Below are 19427 nucleotides of genomic sequence, written 5' to 3'. Positions count from 1 at the left end.
GGTTTATCTCTATGGCCCTGGAAGATACTTTTAGATAATAAAAAAGAATAAAATCAGAATGTTTTTGCATATTCTGAGTTGAACTGTAAGCAGTTACTAATTTATCTTTTCTTTGCTTGGAAACAGAAGATGCTTTTGCTTATTTACAGAAATCTGTTAGATCACAGTTTCTCAATTCCAAAATATGTACTTTTCCTCATTCCTTCTGCCTCCACTCCAAAGTCCAGAACAATGTCATTTATCAGCTGTTAACTTTTGAGTAAATCACTTAACTTCCCTTTGCCTATTTTCTCGTTTGTAAATAAAGGGGTGGCAACAAATCAGCAGTTTTTACCAACAGTCAAAAACATACCTGGCTAAAACAGTTTTTTATTAAAAAATATTGATGTTTACTAATATTTTAAAAAAATATAAGTAAGAATGTATTCAAAGTTATCCATATGTAGATTAGGTGCAATGGCTAATCCAGCACTTCAGAAAGCTGAGGTGGGCAGATCACTTGAGGGCAGGAGTTTGAGACCAGCCTGGCCAACACGGTGAAACCCTGACTTTACTAAAAATACACAAATTAGCTGGTTGTGGTGGTGCACGCCTGTGATCCTGGCTACTCGGGAGGCTGAGGCAGGAGAATCTTGAACCCGGGAGGTGGAGGTTGCAATGAGCCGAGCCGAGCCGAGCCGAGATTGTGACACTGCACTCCACCCTGGGCAACAGAGTGAGACTCCATCTCAAAAAACAAACAAACAAAAAGAAAAACACCAAGCAAGCAAGCAAGCAAACAAACAAACAAAAAACCCAAAAGCAGTTACCCATGTGTAGGTAAATATCACCTACATTCTGATGCATTTTCTTGATTAAGAAAGGGGAAGAATCAGGTAGCACACCAGTAATGGCATGGCATAGCAGGTAAATGCCATTTATTTCTCTAAATCTCTGTATATGAATAGTAGAGATCTCTGGACTAAACTCTAGTCCAATCTCTTATTATCTAGTTTTCCAGAGGGTAATTAAAGTTCTTAAGTATAAAAATTTCACAATTGACTGTGAAGATAAGTTAATCTGGGAACTTACACAACACCCCAATATGTGTTCAATAAATATTTTGTTGGATGACTCAACCTATCATTTCTAATTTATTATATGCTTTTTCTAAAACAGGATTCAAGGCTTAAATGGGCCTACAACTATGGGGTATGATACCGACCTAAGCCAGATGTAAGCTGATGCTATTATTATCTGGAAAGCAAACCTTTAAACCAGAATCTTAACCAAGTTTTGTTATAGGAAATAAGTACTTAGATAGAGAAAACATCATTTGCCTTCTTAAATCTTAAATATTGGCCACTTATTGACACTTATAAAGTGTCAGTGCCTATCTGTGTAGCTCTAACACCTCCCCCAAGAGGTTAGAAAACTGAAAATATAATAAAATTTAACTAAGTCATTCAATGATACAGAATTAAATTATTTGAACACAACTTGCTACCTCCATAAATGTATTGAAAAGCCCATCCAAACATATCTGACTTTTTATTCTGAAATAATATCCTGAACACAGTGAAAAAACATTCTGAAAACTAGGATTTAAGAAACTTATTTACTTAAGCAGTAAAAAGTTCACCTCTATGAAATATTAAGATAAGCTACAAAGCAACAGATATTGTATTGGTACAAGAAAGACAAAGTACTAGAACTGAGACAGACCAACATTTATATGAGGGGACATAACTAACACTACCAGTAGCCTCACAAATTAATGAAGACATGACATACTGCTTAAAAGATGATGTCAGAAAAACTGACCCACACTACAGAGAAAACCGAAATGGGATTCCTACTTAACATCATATCCAAAGATGGACTACATATGGGTTAAAGACCTAAATGTAGCAGATGAAATTATAAAGAGAAGACAATGTAGGAAGATATTTTTGGGAAATATGGGTGAGAAAAAACTTCAACAAATTCCCAAAAGCAATTAACTAGTTTGATTGCATCAAAATTAGTGATTTCTGTTTAACCAAGGGCAACATAAAGTTAATTGACAATGGTAAATTAAAGAAAATATCTGTACTATCTAAAAATGACATAGGACTAATACCAAGAATACAAAACAAACTCCTACAAATTCAGAGGAAAAAATAAGCAACTTTCAAAGAAAAAAAGGACAAGACATGTACAGGCAATTCACAGTAGAGGAAACTTAAAGGACTAACAATCATTGCTACATACAGAAATGCAAACGAAAATAAGATGTTCTTTATTGGCAAAAATTACATGTTAGGAAAGAATGGAGATACGGGAACCCCTTCTTGCTGCTAGTGAGTGCGTAGGTGGCTGAAAGCATTCTGTGGAGCAGATTATTTGGCAGTCTTTAGTCAAAATCGGCATAGACATGCCCCATGGACAGATTTGAGGATGCATACTTTGGCAGTGTTCTTTGGAGGCAAATTTGGGAGAGGTCATCACTAGGTAAAGGGGACAGGTAAATGTGTAGGATGTGAACCATGAGTACTACAGAGCAAGAAGAAACAATGGCCTAGATTTGCACTGTCCAACATAGTAGAACTACCCACATGTGGCTATTTAAACTTAAATAAAAATCAATTAACATTACCCAAAATTAACAATTGAGTTCCTCAGTTATGCTAGCTGCAGCTCAAAAGCTCAATAGGTACTTGTGGCTAGTGGCTACAGTATTAGCCAGTACAGATTAAGAACATTTCTCCTTTCCATCATCATAGAGAATTCTATTGGACATGCTGCCTTAGATGAACACAAAGTATCATGGATGTTTCTTTAAAATAGTGTTGAGAAATGTGACAAATGTAACATTAGGAAGTGAAGTCTAAAGCACACTTAATTATGTAATTTGAAAAATGCATACAATGAAAAAGAGTAACATCGAAGATGTTAAGAGTTATCTGTCAGTGGGAAGGGAACGGCAGTTAGAAATAGGTAACCAAAGGGAATATAAGTAAAATGAGAGATACTTTGTACGGACTGATGCGCCTGGTAAAACCACGTACTAAAGAATATTATTAATCTCCTGTATTTGAGGTCCAACAACAAATGTTGGGGTTAGTGTCAGCCAGAAATCCTGGGGGGAAATGGTAAACTCCAACTCTGATGCCCTCAGGAACAAAAACTGTTAAGGTTGCAAAGAAGGAATTTTTCATATCCCCATTGCCAACCAATTTTCATTTAAAATTAAAATCTTTTTTTTCTGCCTCAATCTCAATTCTACTATGGTACTACTTCACTATAAGCTTTCTTCAGGGAAGAACGAATTGTGACAAAAAAGAACTATCAATGGCCAGAGAATAAAAGGTGAAATAGACCCACTCGATTGCCACCAACATTTTACAATGAGTTACTGTACAATTCCCTTAACAGAGCTATTTTGATTACACAGGGCAAATTCTAATAGTGGGACCAGATCAACTTAACACAATATATGAAATAGTGAATACATTTTTTTGTGTTTCTATTTTCTTCAACAATTAGGAACTGTAAACTGATGATTTCTACCATTGACACATATTAACAAGATAAAAATAAAAGCCTGGGCGGGGCGCGGTGGCTCCTGCCTGTAATCCCAGCACTTTGAGAGCCAAGGCGGGCGGATCACGAGGTCAGGAGATCAAGACTATCCTGGCTAACACGGTGAAACCCCCTCTCTACCAAAAATACAAAAAATTAGCCGGGCGTGGTGGCGGGTGCCTGTAGTCCCAGCTACTCGGGAGGCTGAGGCAGGAGAACGGCATGAACCCGGGAGGCGGAGCTTGCAGTGAGCGGAGATCGCACCACTGCACTCTAGCCTGGGGAACAGAGCGAGACTCCGTCTCAAAAAAATAAAAACAAAAAAATAAAAGTCTGATATAACTTAGCATGGATTTTTCAGTAGAATAAGTTAAAATGTTCTGGAACGATTTTGTCAATGCATGTTGAAAAATCTGAAAATGTTTAGTGCTCAGTAAATTTTCTACCGTTCCCTTAGTCATCTCCATTTTAATTCTAAGCAGACGGAGGTCATTTTAAAACACAATACTAATAGAAAACATATACCGTAAATAATATGTACCAGTCATCAACTCAATTCTCACAACACTGTAAGGTAGGACTATTAAAATCTCCATTTAACAGACGAAACAGAGGTCTGTTAACTGGCTAGCCCAAGGTCACGCAGCTATTCGTGGCAAACCTGGGCCACGAAGCACCACAAAACTATGCTACTTCATCGATCTTCTGATCCATCATCCCTGAGGATTCAGATTTGCATTTACCTGGAGAATCTCACGGTGCCACAAAGTGGAGTTCCCGGTTCGTGGCTTATGAGCCACACTGCCCGCTGCGCCATGGTTAAGTCAGTAAAGCATTAGCTCATCTCATAATTAAGGTCGCCACCGAGGAACAGCGCAGACCGGCTTTCTCAGACAGACTCTTAACAGAAGCCCTGAGGCTCATCCTGCGCCGCATACCGGTCGCGCTCAGCAGAGAGGTTAGCTTTTTTAGGTGAAGTCACTAACGCTTCTGAGTCGCTCTAGGCCAACACACACCACAAAAAGTTCTAAGAACCCCAACCTATAACCTTGAGAAATTTACCTATACCCTGCAACTCCGGTATTTTCTTCCTCTAAATTCTACTTCCGGAATGGTGGCCCGCAAGGATCAAAGTTCCTCATACACGGTAGCGTCGAGCCTTTTTTCGGTTCTTTCGCCGCTCGTTTTATTCGCCGGCCCCTCCCGACAACCTCCCTGGCGCGCGCAGTTCCACTTCCGGCGTATGAGGCGGTGACAATGGGAGCAGCGCGGGCGGCGCCGGGAGGCAGCTGACAAGCGTTTGCGGCTTCGCTTCATGGCCGCTCTCCCGCCCCTCCTGGGATCTGTGGGGAGCTGGGGAGCCCGCAGCGGCCCGGAGCCGGAGCTGGCGAGCCGAGCGGAGACCTGTGCGCCGCGCCTCTGAGGCGCAGCATGTGAAGCGGAGACGGCATCCAGTGGGGGGCGAGCCTCTCAGCCGGCCGGGATGGCTACCACGGCCGAGCTCTTCGAGGTGGGCCCCGGCGGCTCTACAGGGAGTGGCAGGCCCGGGGTTTGCAGGCAGCTGGGTGGGCGGGCCGAGGAGCGGGCGTTTGCTGGCTGCCCAGGAGGAGCCCTCGGGAGAGAGGTGCGAAACAGAAGGGTTGGGGTGGCAGCTCCGTGTCAGCGCGGGCGGAGCGTGAAATGGGGGAGGGGTGCTTGGGGCCGAGGTGGGCTGGGCGGCCGGTCGGCAGAGAGGGGAAGCCGGGTGTCCCAAGGGAGGAGGGTTGCTTTTGTTTGTGGGGGCAAGAGGGAAAGTCTGGAAGGTTCGGGTGTTGGAAGATGTCTACTCCGGATGAGTAGTGGGAAGGGCTGACTCAGGACGAGGAAAGAGAGCCAGGAGCCTCAGGTTGGGCGAGTCTTGTCGCTGGGGTCCTCGCGGGAATAATAGGAGGAAGCCACTTGAGATCGGGACTCTTGGGGGCTTCTCGTTTTGAGTAATTATTCCATTAGTAAGGTTGCAGGTGGCATTCATAGGACTGCCAGTTTAACCTGACATTTGAAAAGGCTGGGACAATTTTTTTTTTTTTGGACAATAAAGGCCTACTTATCTCTTTCGACTGAAGAGAGATAGACTGAAGGGAGGCAAAATTCAAGTGAACACTTTATTTCATGTAATACATAATAATACACTCGAGGCATTTACGTGTATTATAAAATAAAAAAAGTTTATAAAATAAAACGAACACTTCGTTTCATGTATATAATGCACCTTAAGTGTATTATATGCATTTACATGTATTATAAAATCACCTAACTGCAAGCTAGAGAATCCTTAATATGTAATAGTGAGAATACTAATGTCTTTCCTCGAGCGTTTACAGTATCTAAACCTTAAAATTTAATTTCGTGAAGTCCGTTGTAAGAAGCTGTGATAAAAGTTTGAGATAATAGAATAGGAAAACTCTAATTAGGCTACAAAACAATGACACGTATAAAGCATCTCCTTGTGTGAAAGAAATGAAAACGGATAAGAAAAAGGAAAGAAAGACCCCTTTTTTGTGTGTGTGCTTGTGTTTCACATTGAGTAACAAAAGTGTAATAATTGAGAAGACTGTAATCCACAATAGGGAACTTCTCCATAAGTGAAAATGGTATCCTTTTTCTGCGTAAGATTCAGCAGTTTTTGTGGCTTACAATTTGAATGCCACAGTTTTAATAACAAATGGAAATTTACATTTGTTATTGTTACTATATTTTGCATATCAGTCAGCTTTTGGATAGATAATGCTTTTTTTGAGAGGAGTAATATATGTTATTGTTATAATAAGTTGTAATAAGACAGTAATTTGTGAATGAAGGATTGTAATTACAAGAAAGACTTCAGAGATATTGTATTTTCTCACTTAAGTGTTGGGAGATATGCTACATTAATTTCTGTAATTCCAAAATTGTGCCATCTGTTTATTGACACAAGAACGGGGAGACATTTTTCCTGCTAGGAACTTTTACTGTGTCCCTAGGTACTAAGTAGTGCTGTGGTTCCTTGTTTTATTTTTCACATCTTAAAAAGGGAGAAAACGATGAAGTTGTATGAGATCTTTAATTAAGGTATTTGCCGGCAAGCCAGCTCTTAACTGAAAACTGTTATATATGTTGTCATACAGTTCATAAGACATTATCCTTTGAGTTAATCCTGCTTGACAGTTCCAGTTGTACCTTGGACCATCTTATGTATATTTTTATTTAAATGTTTGACCACATGATTTCAGTAACTTATTTGGAAATATGTTTGATTTTTTTTTTTCCCCTCTCCCTAGCGGGGAAGGGGAGGAGGTGGGGAAATATATATTTTGCTTTCTGGGGTCCTGCTATTAGGTTAAGTAGTATATATATACGTTTTATATATATATATATATACACACACACACATACACATATATATATATAACGTATATATAACATACATATATATAATGTAATTTAGTGACTCTAGTTACATGGTAGCCAGTAAGATTCTGTGATAATAGAGACAGTAGCCCTTAGACTACCCTTAGGCCAGAGGGTTTTTAGGACAAATTTAAACGTATTTATAGATCTTAAAACTGACGTGACTTTTTTTCTTGACTATATGTAGCTTGTTGCTTCATCATAATTAAAAGCATAATAGTTACAATTAAGTTTCAATAGTTATAATTAAGAAGTGCATTTATCTTTTCTGGTACTGCTATGAATCCAGCCCTACAGTGGACTCTACTCTTGAGTAAGTTTTCATCCCCAAGTGAAAAGTTGATCTCTTGGCCTTGGAGGGAGGAGGAAAAAAAATCCTGTCACTGCTCAGTTTCCTGTAACTACTGCCATAGCATCTAGGTTGTAGTAAGAGTCACGGGAAGTATCTTTTTCTCCTGCTTCCCTTTCTTAGTCCCAGCTGGAGAACTGTGGAAAACGGAAGGCAGGATGTAGTCAAGGATGTTTGGTTTTTATGCATCCTGATTTTCATGCACTGTTAAATAGAATTATGCTTTCACTTTTCATGTTAGGAGAAGTTAAATGAAAACAAAATTAAGCTTTTGAATCCATGACATTTCATTATGTTAACTCTGCTTCTTTTAAAATCTTATTGGTCCCATGACTCTCAATGAAAACAACTTCATATAACAAAATCAAACTGTAATATATTTCCTCAGTTGACCGAAATGATTTAGTAATAGATGATTTGGCTATTGTAATAGTGTATATCCTGGAAGTTTCTCAGAATACCTTCTTAGTTTCAACTTTTGTTGACAGATCTTTCTGAAAAGATCCATGTACAGTGTTTTAAAATCTCCTCAGGATAGACATTCTGAGTAAGGATTCTTATGTGGTGTAGATAAATTGTATCTTCTACATATACAAAGTGGCTGGGCTCAGAAATTCCTTTTCTTTGTTTTTGAGACAGGGTCTTGCTCTATCGCATAGGCTGGAGTGCAGTTGGGTAATCACTGCTCGCTGCAGCCTCTACCCTCCTGGCACAATCCATCTGCCCACCTTAGCCTCCAGAGTAGCTGGGACTAGAGGTGCCTGCCTCCATGCCCAGCTGATTTTTAAAAATTTTTTGCAGAAATAAGGTTTTACCATGTTGCCCAGGCTGGTCTTGATCTCCTGGGCTTAAACAATCTGCCCACCTTGGCCCCACAAGGTGCTGGGATTACAGGTGTGAGCCACCGTGCCCCGCCAGTTCTTTTTATGTTGTTGCAAATGTTCCTCTCTCCTTTTATTGTACTACTGAGGACATTCTTTCCTCATTTGCTTAATTTTTTCCCCCATAATTCTTCAAGAATCTTCGCTTTTCTCTGTTTGGGCTACCATTACGGGAGAGTTCTTGGTTAGTAACTAGGGTTAATTATTCATTCATTCTACAGATATTTGTTGAGTACCTTTTAAGTTCAAGATAAAGTTCTGAAATTGACGAGGCTGCATGTCTCAAAGGGCATGCCATAGAAATATTAATCCTATGAGATGTGTCGCAAAAAAAAAAAAAAAGGGTTCAGTGACCAAGTAAGTTATGGAAATGAGCATAGTCTGTTTCGTTGGAGATTTGCGGTATACCTTAATATGTTAAAGATGATGAGAAGTCCATTTCCCCAACTTTTTTCACCATGAGACTGTTTTCTTTCTTTTTTAAAGAGACTTTTATTTTCTACTGCTTGTTAACTTAATTTTGTGAATTACAAGGTACATATTTTGGAAAATAGAATTAAGTATAGAACTTGTCCTTATCAAATAGAGGGAGAGAAGGTGGATATATGATACTATACTCTTAAAAATAAGGTTATAAATGGTTTCAAAGAGGTCTAGATGTGCCATAGGTGTTGAGAGGATGGGAAGATTGCCTCTAGAAGAAAGAAAGGATTAGAAGGTGGCATTTGAATTACCTACAGAGGATAAATTAGATTTGAGTTTGTGGAACTGGATGGAGGGACTTTTCAGTAAAGCAGACAATAAAAGCTAAGACATAAAGGGAGGGTTGTAGGCCCTGGAGATAAGGGGAGCATTCATTTTGGCTGGAGTATATATAGCACACATAAAGAGGAAGAGTGGCATGTAAGGTAAATCGGGGTTTAATTTTGGAGGTCCTAAATGCCAGGATTAAAATTTCATTTTTTTTTCTTTCTGTAAATATAGGTTCCTTGATAATAGTGCTTGAGGTCAGGTAATTTGGCTATGATAGCAATGGCTGTTTGACTTCCAAATTAGAGTATGAATATTGAAGAACACCTTTTCCCACATTTATTTGTCTCTTAATTTTTCAAACTAAATTACAAAAGCTAGTTAAACAGAGTTGTTGAAAATGATGTCTCTTGTTCAATTAGCTAGCCAGGTATATACTAACGAACATGAGATACACAAGTAAGGAGCACCCCGTTACTGTCAAGGTGCTGAAATGCTATTTATTTTAACCATATTAGTTGTTAAGTGTTTATAGACCTTGGCTACCAATTGTAGTAACATGGATATGATAGAATGTATTCATTCTGCAAACGTTGAATGAATCTGTAGGCCAGACATTCCAGGTACTAGAGTTAAAAGATGTTGAGTTAAGCATCTGGTTGAGGAAGACAGACATGTTAATACATTAATACAGCGCAGTGGGAGTATAGAATCTTTTCCAGGGATTATTAGGAAAGGTTTCATTTAGTAATGGCATATAGAAATTGGATGTTGATGGATGAGTAGAGATTTTTCAGACAGGAGAAGGGCATTCCAAGGCAGAGACACAAGATGGCTCCAGTTTGTTGTAAGGTGAGGCAGTTGAGAAGAGTTAGGATGTGTATGTGCATATTTTAAGAATAGGGAGTGGTGGCAAGGCATTGAGACCATAGGAGTTCGAGGGCAGTTTTTTTGTTTTTTTGCTTTTTTTTTTTTTTTTTTTTTTTAGGCTGGAGTGCAGTGGCGTGATCTCAGCTCACTGTAACCTCTGCCTCTGGTTTCAAGCGATTCTCCTGCCTCAGCCTCCTGGGTAGCTGGGATTATAGGTGCCTGCCACCATGCCCAGCTAATTTTTTTATTTTTAGTAGAGATGGGCTTTCGCTGTGTTGGCCAGGCTGGTCTCGAACTCCTGACCTCATGATCGACCTGCCTCGGCCTCCCAAAGTGCTGGGATTACAAGCGTGAGCCACCGTGCCTGGCCAGTTTTTTTGTTTTTTGAGACAGGGTTTTGCTCTGTCACCCAGGCTGGAGTGCAGTAGTGTAATCACAGCTCACTGCAGCGTCGACCTCCTAGGCAAAAGCGATCCTCCCACCTCAGCCTCCTGAGTAGCTGGGACTACAGGCATGTGCCACCATGCTTGGCTAATTTTTTATTTTTTGTAGGGACGGGGTCTCATTGTATTGCCCAGGCTAGTCTCCAACTCCAGGACACAAGTGGTCCTCCCACCTAGGGCCTCCCAAGGTGCTGGGATTATAGGCATGAGCCACTGGGTCCAGCCTGGGGGAAGTTTTAAGAAGGCTTTTTATACCTCATGCAAGAGGGCTGACCTTACTTTTTTTGGGTAAGGGTCAGGGAGACAGACAATTTTAATGTTAGTGTGAAGAATGGCCTTCTATGGGGGAAGAAATTGTTAGCTGGGAAAATAGGGATCGTGGGCAACCTGACATAGTTCTTGTCATTTGGTAAGTGTTCCAGAATTATCTGTTGACTGATTAATCTGGCCAGATGAAAGTCTAACCTAATTCAATGGTGACAGAGAAGAAATTTGAAAAGAATTTTGGAGGAAGAATTAAAGGAATTTGATTACTGAGGAGTTAAAATTCCAAATTTGTAAACTTTGAAAAGTAGGTGGTTGGTGATTCATTAACTGTGACAGAGAAAATTAGAAGGACCCTTGCAGGGGGAAGAAATAATATATTCATTAAGTATATATATACACACACACATATATACGTATATATACACACACATATATATACATATATATATACATATATACTTAATGTATATATATACACTTATGTATATATGTATATATGTATATATACTTAATGTATAAATATATACATATATGTATATATATACTTAATATATGTGTATATATATACGTATATATATATACACACACACACACACACACACACACATATGTATTTACACTTTGAGTTTTTAGCAAGACATCCTGGTAAAGAAGTCCACAAGGCAAATGGAAATATGAATTAGTAACTCAGAAAGAGATCACAGTTAGACATAGCAGTTTAGGAAGTATCACTTTATGTGGGTGGTAATTTAGCCAGGAGGTGGAAGACATCTCTCAGCTCTGCCTCTTACTAGTTGTGTGATCTTGGCAAGTTACCCAACCTCTTTGTACCTCAGTTTTCTCATCTGTAAAATGGGGGAAATAATGGTATCTACTTCAGAAGGTTTTTTTGATGACTAAATTGAGTTGAGAAATTTAAATTGCTTAGAAGCATACTATTAAGAGAGTAGTATCCATTTTAAAAAATTAGGTGTTGGCCACTTTCAATTTAAGTGGATTGAGATGAGAACTAGATTAGAGATCTATCAGGGAGGGAACACTTCAGCCTTCTCAGTCTCAGTTGACTCAGAGTAAATGATCCAAGAAGTAGGAGATTATAGTAGGAGAGGATTACAAAAAGGGGCTGTGGAAGGTTGTATTTTTCAGGATGGTCACAAGATCTGCCATCCTACATTGTGATGTTTATGCCCCTCCCATAGGAAGTAGGTTCTGTGTTCACTTCTTGAATCTGTACAGGCCTATGACTATAGAAGTGATGCTATGTAGTGATTTGCAAGGTTAGGTAACCTCTTGGACTCTAGCAGCCATGCCAAGAGAAAGCCCATGCAGCCCTTTGAAAGAACCAAGGCCCTTTGCCCTTGGCTCTGGCTGAACTCCCAGCTAACAGTAAACACCAACTTGCCATCTTGGAAGACTATCTTCTAGCCAAGTTGAGCAGCCCCAGCTTATTTCATGTGGAGCAGAGACCAGGTTTCCCTGCTGAGCCCTCCTCCAATCAGATTTGTGAACAGTATGATTATTGTTATTTTAGGCCACTAACTATTTGAGTGGTTGTTAGGCAGCAATAGATAACTGTAACAGAGGCCGATCAATTTCTTACCTGCACCAAGATCTAATAGCCTTCTGCTGGTCTTAGTGGAGACAGTGGTAGAGGTAGAGGTTGATGCTTAAGAGTAATAGAGTTCCATTTAAGTATTTTATGCTTTGGAGTTCTCCAGTCCAAGCAACTTGGAAGTGAACTTTTGGAATAAGCAAGTCATTAAATTGAGGACAGTATTATAGACTGCACATGTGTGTAATTAATCTAAAATACTGAGTCCCTGGTGTTCCCAGGAAATTAGATAGTTGAGGTGTGTGTGTGCCCACATGTGTGAGAGAGATTTGAAAGAGTGATTGATTGCCTTGTTCTCTTAAAAGTGGATTGCAATTTCATGTAACACCGTGCAAATAAACATAACCTACAAATTAAACGAAAGTTCTAGTTGAGTGATAAATAATTTAAAAGTTTGATTGTCAATAGTTTATGTATATATATATTTTTAAAACTTAGCAAACTTTTCTGATGTTACTTCCTTGAAGCCGAAATTTGAAAATGAGAAAATATAGTTATTTACATATCTTTGCTTATTCAAGTTATAATAAACGAAAGAAGCAAATGATTCTTTCACTTGTTTAATTTCATTTCCAAGGTGTCTATTAAATGCCTGTAAGAATATTTAACGTGTGTATTTGGCAATACACTTAATTTGATTTGAAATGCTAATGGCAGATTTTATTAAATATTTAAAGTAATTTCACAGTCTATAAATGTTAAAGGCACTATAATAGAGTGGGAAAAATATCTGGGTTAGAATCCTGGTTTAGTACCTTGATAAGACTTAAATTTCATTTCCTCAGTTTCTTTATTTATAAAAATGAGATGAAAGAGCTGGGCTGTGATGATATTTAAAGAACATTCTTGCATTACGAATTTTAAATCTAATTATATGATTCTGCTGAGACTAGTGTAACAGGAATTGTAACATTTGTTACCTTTCCCTTTTGGACATAGACATAATATATATAACTTTACTGTTCGAAATGAGATATATTCTATCCTGGAAAAATATTTTGCTTAAGAGAATCTAAAATATTTTGTAAGATTCTAAACTACCATCGTTTAAATAGTCTTCAAAACAATTTTGATAACATGATTAATTGGCTAATTTCATAGTTTAAAGGGCTTCAAGATTGAATGTTAACATTGACTAATTTTAAAAAGTAAAATTATTTATTTTGTAGTGTTTGTGCAAGTAGTTTTCAAAATACTTTTTCAAAGTTTGCTTTAGTTATATTAGTGTCTTAATGAGCTTTATTTTTCTACCTTTTCATACTACCTTTGAAATCCATTTTGCTAGCCTGAGACAAAATATTTTGTGGTGCTTTTTTAAAAACTCAGTATTCAATAAATATAACTTATTTATTAATATACAGAAAACACGTAAAGAATCTCACTGAAAAATCAAAGAAAATGGGGTTAGAAAGTAGAGGCCGAATATTATAAAATTCTTTTAGTTCTTTGTAGTGCCAGAATTGTATTAGGCTCATATTTGGTTTCTGTTAGAATCTTTGATTGATAGTACCATGTAATGCCTGTTCTTTATTTCTGGGTTGTGGGGTGGTGGTCCTGCCTTTTTGGTTTTGGATGTATGGATCAAGAGCATGACTTTCAAGACCCTCTGCAGGGGTTTCAGCCATGGCCCCAACTAGCTAGTGTTTTGGTATGCTCGGCATTGTTCTGTTGACTACAGCTGGAAAGCAAGAGAAATGTATGACACAGCATCCCCTTGCTTTCAATTTAAGTATGGAGAAAAGAGTGAAACTTATGAAAATGATTCTAAATCAATAAATGACAAAATGACAATTAGTAATGTTCTGTGTTGGGATTTGAATTTTTAAGCTTCATAGGGGTTTAAGAGTGGAGAAATTAATGGAGACCATGTAAGGAAGGAACCCTTCAAAGAAGAAACGGGAATAGAGCCAGGCTTTGAATAATGGTATAGCAGTGTTTGAATTGTTGGAGGAGAAAGGCCATACTTGGTGGGGTGAGTTACCTGGCCACAGGTTAGGAAGCAGGAGTAGCATGGGCTTGAAAAGAAGACTGGAATAGTCTGACGGAAGTGTGGCTGTTTGTTTTGAGGTACAGAGAAATTTGGGTAGGTGGTACAAGATAAGAACCCTAAAGGGTAGATATAAGAGTGTGAACTTGGCTGCATGTGGTGACTCACACCTGTAATCCGAGCATTTCCAGAGACTGAGGCGGGCAGATCACTTGAGGCCAGCAGTTAGAGACTAGCCTGGCCAACATGGCAAAACCCCATCTCTACTAAAAATATAAAAATTAGCCGGATGTGATGGCGCACACTTGTAATACCAGCTACTCAGGAGGCTGAGACATGAGACTTGCTTGAACCCAGGAGGCGGAGCCGAGATTGTACCACTGCATTGCAGACTGGGTGACAGAGTGAGACTGTATCTCAAAAAAAAAAAAAGAAAAGTGTGTGTGAATTTGATAGTGTAGTAGGAATTATATAGGGAAGTTTCTCACTAAAAGGAGGTAGTGTTTTAATGATTTGTTAGACAGTGGTATCCATAATAAATTTAAGGAAAATACATGATAGGCAGTACTTTTGAACCGATGGGTTAGTTGGTTTAACAAGATACAGAAATATCTCTCTGAAACGATCTGAGACTTACTTTATTTTTTTTACCTAGGCTGGGGGAAATATCCTAGCTTCTTTGAGTTTTTGGGTGGTTCCAACACATTGTATTGGATCTGCTTTTGGGAATGGAGATACAAGAAAATATAAAAATTGAATTTGTGTCAAGGAAGCAACATTATTTAATTAGGGATTTATGTTCCTGTCCAAGGGATTGACATCCAAGAGATTTTTCAGTAGAAATGACCACAAATACCATTAAGTTCTGGGATACATGTGCATAACGTACAGGTTTGTTACGTAGGTATACACATGCCATGGTGGTTTGCTGCACCCATCAACCCCTCATTTACATTAGGTATTTCTCCTAATGCTGTCCCTCCCCTAGTCCATTACCCTCTGACAGGCCCTGGTGTGTGATGTTCCCCTCCCTGTGTCCATGTATTCTCATTTTTCAGCTTCCACTTATGAGTGAGAACATGCAGTGTTTGGTTTTCTGTTCCTGTGTGAGTTTGCTGAGAATGATGGTTTCCAGTTTCATCCATGTCCCTGCAGTGGATATGAACTCATCCTTTTTTATGGCTGCATAGTATTCCATGGTATATATGTGCCACATTTTCTTTATCCAGTCTATCATTGATGGGCATTTGGGTTGGTTCCAAATCTTTGCTATTATGAATAGTGCTGCAGTAAACGTACGTGTGCATGTGTCTTTATAGTAGAATGATTTGTAATCTTTTGGGTATATACCCAGTAATGGGATTGCTGGGTCAAATGGTATTTCTGATTCTAGATCCTTGAGGAATCGTCACACTGTCTCTCACAATGACAAACATCATATTTTAATGTTACAATTGGTAACATTTGTAAAGCATATAAAATCAGTTTAATGGAGCAATATAACAACCAATTATGTAAAGCTAAATTTCATATGGTAGTATCTTAGTGCATAGTTCTAGATTTTTGTTTTGGCTTGGTAATTTTTGCTTTTGATTACTATAGCAAAACAAAGTGAAGCTAAACCTTTGTCAGCCTTATAAAATTCTGAAGGATTTAAAAATTTTTTTACAGGTATTTGTATTACAGGGAATTGTTTGAGAAGTCTTTTGGGAGGACTTGGTCATTTGGAGGTCTTAGGATTTGTTAATTTGGCTTTTTGTCACTGTAAGCGCCTTTGCAGCAAGATAAAGTATTAGAAAGCAAGGCATTAGGATTTATTTGCTTATATAAGCAGAATTTTTAAATTTTTATTTATTTATTTATTTTTTATTTTTTGCTTTTTTGGAACTTCCATCCCTTGGGGATCAATTGCTGACTTCTCGTAAACCCTTGTGATAATTTGTCTCTGAGGATAAAATGTGTACTTTGCTTTCAGGACACTGACCTCTTATTTTCTTCCACCTACACTGGTGCCTCTTGCTTTCTTTTGTTGGATTGTTTTCCTGCTCTTATCTCCAAATCTTGGCATGCCTTTCTTCCTCGTAGATCTCAACCAGTCCTTAAGTAACCATCTATATGTTGATGATTCAAATTTTGTGAAGCTCCAGCTTCTTCCGTGTAGTAAAAATTTGTTTTTCCATCTATGTGCTCTATATTTCTCTTACATATCTAATAGGCATCTACACTTTAACATATGTGGAACAAAACTCTTGTTTCACTGCTCCCTCATCCATCTCCTTCCCTGATCTTCCCATCTCAGTAATTAGCACCACCATTCACAAAGTTGTCCTGGCTGCAAACCTCTACCTCAATGAGTAATCTTTTATTCCTTTTTTTTCTTTCTCCACATATCCAGTCTATCAGCAACTTATATGAATGCATGCCTTAAGACGTCATGAACCTATTTCTCAGCACCTCATCCACTGCCACTTTCATCTGAGTCACTGCCATCTCTTGACTGGACTACTAAGGTGTTGCAGGTTGGGTCTTTTGGGAAGCAGACTTTGAGACAGTTTAGTATGCAGAATATTTATTAGGAAGTAACCTTGGATGAACATTTATGAGGGGCAGAGCAAGGATACAAGATTGAGCATGTGGAGAAGTAGAGTTACAGTTTTCGTCCAGTGGCAGTGTTGATGGCTTCTGTGGGGAGGTCTGAAACTAAAATGACCTGTCAGAGTTGTCCTGCTTTGGACCAAAGTGGTCTGGCCCTTATACTCCCATCTTAATCAGTCATTGGGTATGGATCACATTGGGAAAGACATGACATTGGGTGAAGTGTCTCTTTGCATCTGATGAGGTCCCTGAAAATCTGCCCATGAAGGCTTTTTGTTGACAGCACTATTAGCAGTTAGAGCAAGTCCCTTCTTGAAGGGCAATCTGGATGGCACATTATTGTGTTCACCACAGACAACCCTTGTTCCACTATTAGACTTTACTTCTTCATATACATTTGGGGAGCAGCTCTTCTGACATTCTGGTTGGGTCTCATCCTGGAGGAAAATTAGAAGAAGAAGGCTAGTGAGATGAACTGTGGCCCCCACTGCTATAGCTGGTCTCGGAGTTGCAACTGATATTCACTGTCTCTCACCTCTACTATCGATTGTAACTCTGCCTTACCTTCAACTGGTACCTCTGATGTTCTTGGTATCTTAACTGGTTATAATACCCTTTTTAGGCCAGGGTTGTAACACTTGTCCATACATTTTCAGAATTGGTTGAGGGGGTGTTAAGAGATCCCTGAGAGGATCATCTGTGTGCCAAACATACTGCTCTCTGCCCCCATTGTGTATTAGCAGCCCTGCCTCATCCTGATCATTATGGTTGATTGCCCTAGCCAAAGATGATCACTCCTCTTCTTATTCCCTAGATATAAAGAGACAATATGACCAGGCAGTACTTGTAGTTATAGTTTAATGACACTCTTACTATGTTCGTAGGCAAAAGTGTTCCTTCTTTGGGCACCAAGACTATTCCGGAAGAACCTAGAGTTACAGGGATCCCAAGCACAAACTGGGAGTCATGATAAGTGAACCCACTTTCTGCTTTTACCTCTTGTTGCCAGACTCATGTGTTTTTCCTATGGGAGTCACAGCATCATATAAAGCCTTTTAATTCAGAATATATACTGCATCTTGGAGAATAGTGCTTCCTTTTTTTTTTTTTTTTGCTTTTGGAGACGGAGTCTTGCTCAGTCGCCCAGGCTGGAGTACAGTGGTGTGATCTTGGCTCACTGCAACTTCTCCCTCCTGGGTTGAAGCAATTCTCCTACCTCAGCTTCCCGAGTAGCTAGGACTACAGGTGCCCACCACCAACCCAGCTAATTTTTTGTATTTTAGTAGAGACAGGGTTTCACTGTATTGCCCAGGCTGGTCTCGAACTCCTGAGCTCCGGCCTGAGCCACCACACCCGATCAGTGCATCATTTTAATAGAGTATGCCCTCTGAACTGGTGCTTCAGCTGTGCCTTCATCAGGGTGTTCCAGTGCTCTGTTAGTCTGCCTACCTCTGGTTGGTGTGGTTTATGATATGACCAGTGAATCCCATGGTTACCTCCTTTGCTGTAAACTGGGTGCCTGGGTCCTTTGGTGTGATATGGTATGTGGAGTCCTGTGCCAGAGGAACAAACACTGCCTCTGAGGAAAGGCAAATCCATCTCAAATGTTTCTACTTCTATCAAAGTAAAATATTCTTTTTTCTAGGGTAGAAAGGGCCCAGTGTAGTCAACTTGCCAACCATGTGATTAGTCTTGAATGGGGCTATTTTAGGGGCTTAGAGTTGGTCTCTGTCACTGTTAGGCTAGATATTTGGTTTCACAGTAGCTGGATCAGCCTTGGTAAGTAGGACCCCTTGCAGTTGGGGCCATGTTGTCTGTACTGTGTCTGCTTTGTTCATGTGCTCAGAGTGCTAATGCCAAGCAAAGTCATTTTTTCTACTTGGTTGCTTAGTTCCTCTTTCATGGTATATGTTCTCTGGTGCTAACATGTTATACAAAGAACTTCATACTTTGCATCCAGTTTCATGTATCTGTCTGTCTTAGTCAGCTCAGGCTTCCATAACAAAATTCCATAGACTGGATGGCTTCAACAACAGAAATTTATTTCTCAGTGTTCTGGGGGCTGAGAAGTCCAAGATCAAAGTGCCAGCAAGGTAGTTATCATGCTGAGGCCTCTTCTCTTAGCTTGTAGGCACCACCGTCTCACTTTGTGCTCACGTAATCTCTTCTTTGTGCAGAGAGAGATTTCTTTTTCCTGTAAGAACATTAATCCCATAATGAGTGCCTGTACCTTGTGACCTCATCTAACACTGATTACCTCCCCAAAGGTCCCATCTCCAAATACCATCACATTGGGAGTTAAGTCTTCAACCTATGAATTTTGGGAGGACAGTTCTTTCATTGTATAGTCCATATGCCTCTCTACTCCAGACTTTCTTGTCCTTGGTCTTCCAATCTTAACTTACTTCTCTGATAGCTAGGCCCTTTGCCATTTCCTGTGTAAGGTGGCATCTCATGGTAGTTTTGATTTGCATTTCCCTAAATATTAGTAATGTTGGGCATTTTTTTTTTTTTTGGAACAGATTCACTCACTCTGTTACCCAGGCTGGAGTGCAGTAGAGTGATCTGGGCTCACTGCAACCTCTGCCTCACGAGTTCAAGTGATTCTCCTGCCTCAGACTCCCAAAGAGCTGGGACTACAGGCACTCGCCACCACACCGAGCTAATTTTTGTGTTTTTAGTAGAGACAGGGCTTTGCTGTGTT

At 39.4% G+C, this 19427-nt stretch overlaps 2 protein-coding genes across 6 annotated transcripts in view, besides 3 other annotated features; one reads left to right on the top strand and one right to left on the bottom strand.

Annotated features, from left to right (window-relative positions):
• Positions 1-4704, bottom strand: part of AP5M1 (adaptor related protein complex 5 subunit mu 1) — a 29772-nt gene extending 25068 nt beyond the window's left edge. For all 3 annotated transcript variants that reach the window (NR_026895.2, XM_011536940.4, NM_018229.4), the window contains exon 1: positions 4287-4704. Coding sequence is in view for 2 of the 3 variants with exons in the window: in XM_011536940.4 (XP_011535242.1) it covers positions 4287-4360 (74 nt within the window). In the remaining variant the exon portion in view is untranslated. The remainder of the gene's footprint in view (positions 1-4286) is intronic.
• Positions 4387-4970: an enhancer, noted in NCBI's record as "NANOG-H3K27ac-H3K4me1 hESC enhancer chr14:57735423-57736006 (GRCh37/hg19 assembly coordinates)". NCBI's record gives its function as "activates a minimal SCP1, AML or CMV promoter by ChIP-STARR-seq in naive H9 embryonic stem cells {active_cell/tissue: H9 hESC(naive)}" and the evidence as "EXISTENCE:reporter gene assay evidence [ECO:0000049][PMID:30033119]".
• Positions 4540-4739: an enhancer, noted in NCBI's record as "active region_8438". NCBI's record gives its function as "activates an Ori minimal core promoter by ATAC-STARR-seq in GM12878 lymphoblastoid cells {active_cell/tissue: GM12878}" and the evidence as "EXISTENCE:reporter gene assay evidence [ECO:0000049][PMID:35858748]".
• The window catches only part of EXOC5 (exocyst complex component 5), a 68399-nt gene continuing 53741 nt past the window's right edge, over positions 4770-19427 (top strand). Inside the window, exon 1 of one of the 3 annotated variants that reach the window (NM_006544.4) lies at positions 4770-5053. In NM_006544.4, the coding sequence (NP_006535.1) occupies positions 5027-5053 (27 nt within the window). In that variant the 5' untranslated portion in view covers positions 4770-5026. Of the gene's footprint in view, positions 5168-5308; positions 5429-19427 lie in introns of those variants that run through there. The other 2 variants (XM_005267272.4, XM_047430882.1) reach the window with 2 other exon arrangements.
• Positions 5280-5339: a silencer, noted in NCBI's record as "silent region_5791". NCBI's record gives its function as "represses an Ori minimal core promoter by ATAC-STARR-seq in GM12878 lymphoblastoid cells {active_cell/tissue: GM12878}" and the evidence as "EXISTENCE:reporter gene assay evidence [ECO:0000049][PMID:35858748]".

This window comes from Homo sapiens, chromosome 14 (assembly GCF_000001405.40).
Source record: "Homo sapiens chromosome 14, GRCh38.p14 Primary Assembly".
In the NCBI taxonomy this organism is placed as follows: domain Eukaryota; kingdom Metazoa; phylum Chordata; class Mammalia; order Primates; family Hominidae; genus Homo; species Homo sapiens.
This window is presented reverse-complemented; position numbering and strand designations above follow the sequence as displayed.